Source organism: Homo sapiens, chromosome 17, assembly GCF_000001405.40.
Source record: "Homo sapiens chromosome 17, GRCh38.p14 Primary Assembly".
In the NCBI taxonomy this organism is placed as follows: domain Eukaryota; kingdom Metazoa; phylum Chordata; class Mammalia; order Primates; family Hominidae; genus Homo; species Homo sapiens.
The window spans coordinates 49445483-49451482 of record NC_000017.11 but is presented as its reverse complement, the minus strand read 5'-3'; positions in this window follow the sequence as shown (position 1 = coordinate 49451482).

Here is a 6000-nt window from a genome sequence, read left to right as displayed (position 1 = left end):
CTCTCTGTCTTCATTTCACCCGTCTCCAGGGCGTCCACATTTCCTCATCAGATCAGGGTTCTGAGGGCAGGGGCTGTGTCTCCTGCATCAGCTTAGGGCCCCTAAGGGGTAGGGACTGCTTCCCCAGGGTGGGGGCTCTGGAAGTCATGAGGCTTTTCCCCCCAAACCACCAAATTTGGACTGAGAACTGCATAGGGTAGGGTCTGCCGCACCCCCCGCCCCCACCATAAGGTAATCAAACCAATTAGGCCTTCAGACTTGTTAACCATCAGTGCTGGGTGGAAGCTGAGACAGCAGAGTGAGACAGCTCTGCTACACCTCCCCCCAGCCTGAAACCCCTCGAGGCTCTGGCCTGCTGCTCGAAGACGTCTGGAAGGGCCTTGGCAAGAGGTGCAGGAAGAGCTCCTGCCTGGGCACCAGAGGGGGCTTGCTGGGTGGGTGGGGGCACAGGCCTGGGAGGGGGGCCTGTGGTTTTGCAGAGCTGTGTCTCTGGATGGAGGCTGCCCACAGAATCCTCTAACAGGAAGGCTGAGCTAGGCTGGCTGCAGCCAGGAAGTGAATCCTTAATGTGCCTCTGGCCTTGCTGCTGTGCAAACTCACCACTTAAACACTCAGCAGGCTGGGTGGGGACCAGCCACAGAGCCTGCCTTCCTGGGGGTGGGTTTGGTGCCACAGCACGCTGTGTGCCAGGGATGCTGGGTGTCTGTAGGTGATGCTGTGTGTGCTCCTGGGGTACCTGTCTGCCTGAGTGACATTGTATGAGAGGGGTGGGTGTGCAAGAGGCCAAGGGTGAGGCTGGCCCATTCTCTGCTGTGTCCCCTGTCTCCATCCCATGCCTCTCTTAAGAGATGTGTTTTTCTAGGTTGGGGGTTCGGGCACCATTCTTCTCATGCACATGTCTAGTTGCAGCTGTAGGGATGGTGATTAGGTTGCAAGAACTTCCTCACGGGCACTGGGTGGGAGACTAGGATGAGCAACACTTAGGGAAGTGAAGGTGCATTAGCACGTGTTCTTCAGAGAAACAGAACCAACAGAAGAAAGAAAGAGAGAGAGGAAGGAAGGAAGGAAGGGAAGGAGAAAGGAAGGAAGGAAAAGAAGGAGGGAAGGAGAAAGGAAGGAAGGAAGGAAATAGAGATCGATATAAACACACACACACTCACACATAATACAGAGATTTTATTCTAAGAAATTGGCTCACGTGATTATGAAGGATGAGAATTCCCATGATCTGCTGTCTACAAACTGGAGGCCAAAGCAGGTTGGTGGTATAGTTCCAGTCCAAGCCCAAAGGCCTTAACCAGGAGCACTGGTGGTGTAGGTTCCAATCAAAGGACAGGAGGACCAATGTCCTAGTTCAAGCATTCACGTAGAAGAGTGACTTCTTCCTTATCCATGTTTGTTTCATCCGGGTCTCTGATGGACTGCATGGGGCCCACCAATACTGGGGACAGCAATCTGCTTTAATCAGTCTACAGACATGACACAAATGTCAATGTCACCCAGAAACACCCTCACGGATACACCAAGAATAATGTTTAAATATCTGGGCACCCTGTGACCCAGTCAAGTTGACACATAAAACAAACCATCACAGGATCTCCCCTTTGAAGAAGTTTCTGGAAGGGGCATTGGCTCTGGGAGACATGGATAAAAGGGTAAGGGATGGGCAGATTCTGCTTACAAGTTGTCTTGGCTCAGGCTGCTGTACCAAAACATCACTGACTGGGTGGCTTAAACAACAGAAATTGGGCCCAGCACGGTGGCTCGCACCTGTAATCCCAGTACTTTGGGAGGCCGAGGTGGGCAGATCACCTGAAGTCAAGAGTTCGAGACTAGCCTGGGCAACATGCCAAAATCCTGTCTCTACTAAAAATATAAAAATTAGCCGGGCGTGGTGGCACATGCCTGTAATCCCAGCTACTCGGCAGGCTGAGGCAGGAGAATCTCTTGAACTCAGGAGGTGGAGGTTGCAGTGAGCCAAGATTGCGCCACTGCACTCCAGCCTGGGTGGCAGAGTGAGACTCCGTCTCAAAAAAAAAAAAAAAAAAAGCAACAAACAACAATAACAAAAACCAGAAATAGATTTTCTCACAGTTCTGGAAGTTGGAAGTCCAAGACCAAGGTTCCAGCCCATTCAGTCTCTGGTGAGGGCTCCCTTCCTGGCTGCCTTCTTGCTATGTCCCCACAAGGCCCTTCCTTGGTACATGTTGCTAAGAGGTGGAAGGGGGCAGGGAGAAGGGGGATGTGAGGGCAAGAAGAGCTGGGGGGTGCTGGGAGAGAATGTTCTAGTGTCTTTTCCTCTTATAAAGACACTAATCCTGTGGCATCGGGGTCCCACCCTAATGACCTCATGTAACTTTAATGACCTCCTTAAAGACCCCGTCTCCAAATACAGTCCCACTGTGGGTTAGGACTTTAACATAAATTTTGAGGGGACATAGTTCAGCACTAGGTAAGGAATGTCTCTCTCTTTTCCCCCGACATTGCACCCTCGCTTTAAAAGATAAACTTGTTCAGATTTCCCATTCCAACTGGCCAAGCGAACTACCTCCTGTCTCTTCCCCACCTCCTCACCCCTTCTCCCTTCTCTCCCAGCCTCCCCTTCCCTAGCCTCTCTCTGCATTCTGAGGCTGGGGCTGGGGCAATCGAGAGGCTTCAATAGCATGAATTCAGCCCCCAGCCCGGGCTATATTTAGCCTGGTAGCTCAGACACTGGACAAAGCCACTTCCAAGAGGCTGGTGGGGACAGAGTTGAGAGGAGGCTGCCCTTCCTGCCCCTTTCCCTTCCTGATATGGATACCCCTTGGTTGCCCTCCTGGGGTTACCAGGAATGCTGTTCACAGGGCATGGGCTAGGACTTTGTGTGCACTGCATGCTATTTCTAGATCATCCGCTGGGAAGGGAGTTCTGAGCCCCCTGCCCCAGCCTGAACGAGCACATTCTGCAGTGTTCTCCTTTCACTTCCTGCCCATGCATCAGAGTCACTTGGGAGCTTTCAAAGCTATGGATGCCCAGGCCCCACCCCTAAAGATTCTGATTTAATTGGTCTGGGGTGAGGCCCTGGCATCTTTCTTTTTCTTTTTAAAACCTCCCCTAGGCTACTTGAATGCACTGCCAGGATGGCAGACCATGGTTCTAGATCCTTACCACTCAAAGTGTGGTTCCTGGATCAGCGGCATCGGCATGGTGGGGAAGGCAGGGCTTGGCTTGTTGGAAATGCACATTCCTAGGCCCCATCCCAGCCTGCTGAATCAGAATCTTCCTTTTAACAAGGTCCCCAGGGGATTCCAGTGCAGGCTGAAGTTTGAGAATCACTGCTGTAGAGCCTCACACTGTCACGGGCAAGACTCCAGATCTGTGTCTCCAAGGGTTTTGGTCAGGCTGGAGCAGTGAAGGGCCCTGGTGCTCACCCTGCCTGTCTCCGCTTTCTTCTTAGGACAAGATTGTGGTTTCTTGGGATTTATATCCTGTGGGGGATGGCTGGGTCCATTTCTCCCAGGCCCAGATGGAGCCAATCTAAATTCTCAAGTTTCGGTTAGCTGAGAGTGTCTTACGTGTAATTCACACTTTGCCTTTACCCAAAACGCTTCCCGACTGTCTATAAGACAAAATGCAGAGTCCTTAGAAGAGCATGGAGGCCCCGCCAAGGTACAGAGCCTTACTCCTGCCACTATCCCCACCCAACACCCAACACTAGAACCAGACCCAGCACCTCCTGGCTGCCAAAATCCATACTGCTCCCTTAAGGATGCTTCCTTCACACTAGAGCATTTTGCATTCGTTGTTCCCTTAGCTGGAATGGCTTTATCTCTCTTTTTTTTTTTTTTTGAGACAGAGTCTCGCTGTGTCACCTGGGCTGGAGTACAGTGTCACGATCTTGGCTCACTGCAACCTCTGACTCCCGAGTTCAAGCGATTCTCCTGCCTCAGCCTCCCAAGTAGCTGGGACTACAGGCTCCTGCCACCACTCCCAGCTAATTTTTGTATTTTTAGTAGAGACAGGGTTTCACTATGTTGGCCAGGCTGGTCTCGAACTTCTGACCTCATGATCTGCCCACCTTGGCCTCCCAAAGTGCTGGGATTACAGGCGTGAGCCACTGCCCCCAGCCGGCTTTATCTCTTCTTTTCCTATCTGTTTAATAGGTTCCTATTTATCCTTCAAGTCTCAGATAAGGTCACCTCCTCTGGAACACCCTCCTTAGTCCTTCAGGCACAGCAAGTGTTCCCATGGTTGTTTGTACAGGCCCCACTCCCGGCACCTATTACATTGTGTCTGTCTATCTCTATCTCTTCCACTAATCTCTTCAATCAGAGAGGCAGTCCCATTCATCTTTGTAACTCTGGTACCTTAGCCCAGCACCTGGACAGAAGTAGAAGTAATAATAATAATAATAGCTAACGTTCATTGAGTGTTCATTCTGTACTAGGCAACATACAAACCACTTCCTATGTATTATAACATGTATTCTCACAGCAGCCCTACAAGATAGATAATTTATTATCCTCACTTTATTGATGAGACGTCTGAGGCTCAGAGAAGTGAAGCAACGTGCCCAAGGTCACACAGGAAATCATGGCAGAACTGGGATTTGAACTCAGTCTGTCAGGCTCCAGAGCTCATGTTATTTACACTCTATGGCCACTCAACAGAGTTCCCGAGATGGATGACGGATTAATGAATGAACAACTCAATGATTCCTAGGTAGGAATTTCCTAGTCACCTATTCATCAACATGTTCTTCCTCACTGTTATCAATCTCCTCTTTCTATCTTCCTTGTTACCTTCATCAGCAAGAATCCTTTGTAGGAATCAAGCAATGAATTGGTCCTGGCTCAGCTGACCTGCTGCAGGGATCAGGATTCTATTCTCTGGTTTCTGTTTTTGGTGAAATGAATCTCGGGATTTAGACTGCTTGGGTTCAAATCCTGACTCTACTGCAAACTACCTGAACAACCTTGAGGTGGGTTACTTCATCTCTTCCAGCCATTGAGCAAATCACTTAACCATACTAAGCTTCTGTTTCCTCTTTTGGCAATAGTAATGGTACTTACCTCTTAGTACAAGGATTAAATGAGATAATGCACGCAAAGTTCTGGCCCCTAGCAAAAGCTCAGTTAATGTTAGCTATTGTTATTCTCCATGGCCTGAGAGGAGTGCTACCGGGGGAAGGTAAACTGCCTGGTTCAGACTTTTCTCCTCATTCTGCCGGAAGGTCAGGGATAGCCACTTCCCAGGACACCAATCTTGATGAGGAAGATGGTTGTCACGTGGTGCCAGAATTCCTTTAGTCAGCCATGCTTCTCCCTGATAAATCCACGAAGACCTCCTGAAGGGGAGAGGAGAATTTTGAGATTGCTGGAGATATTATTCAAGAGATGGCTCAGAGGGCTGAGGACTGAGGGCGCAGGGAAGGAGGCAAGGGTCCCTGAGCCTGTGGCCACCACAAGCTCCAACAGATGCTCTTTCCTGGCTTGCTGCCTGCCCGCCTCTCCACTCACCCCGCAGCACTGTGGGTGCTGTGTTATAACCTGGAGGAGACCCCTCACATCATCCAAGCCTCATGCCTTCCTTCTTGGCCCTGGGACAGACCCTTGTTGGCACCATCCCCCGGGTGGGCACTGAAAGGACAGAGAGCAGGAAGAGGGGACCTTTGTCCAAGCCCCAGTGGCAATGGCTCCTCGGGTCAGGGCTGGGCCAAGGGGCCAATGCACAGCCTCCTCCCTTCATCCTTCTCTGCCCCATGAGGAATGTCTTCTCAGACTCACCAGCTTGGCGGTCAACTCCGCTTCACAGAGGGGGCTGTGTCCTGCCATCCAGGCTCCTCTGAAGCCCCCATTGTCGGGCCGGGGGTACTGGGGCAGGCAGGGGCCACATCTCAAAGGCCTGAATGTTCTCAGAGGTGGGAAGGCCAAGACGCTTCCCGGAAGCATTGGGCCAGGGGACACCTGGCTCTTCTCTGTCTCTCTGCACTAAACCCTGTCTGGCCACAAAGAAGGGTTC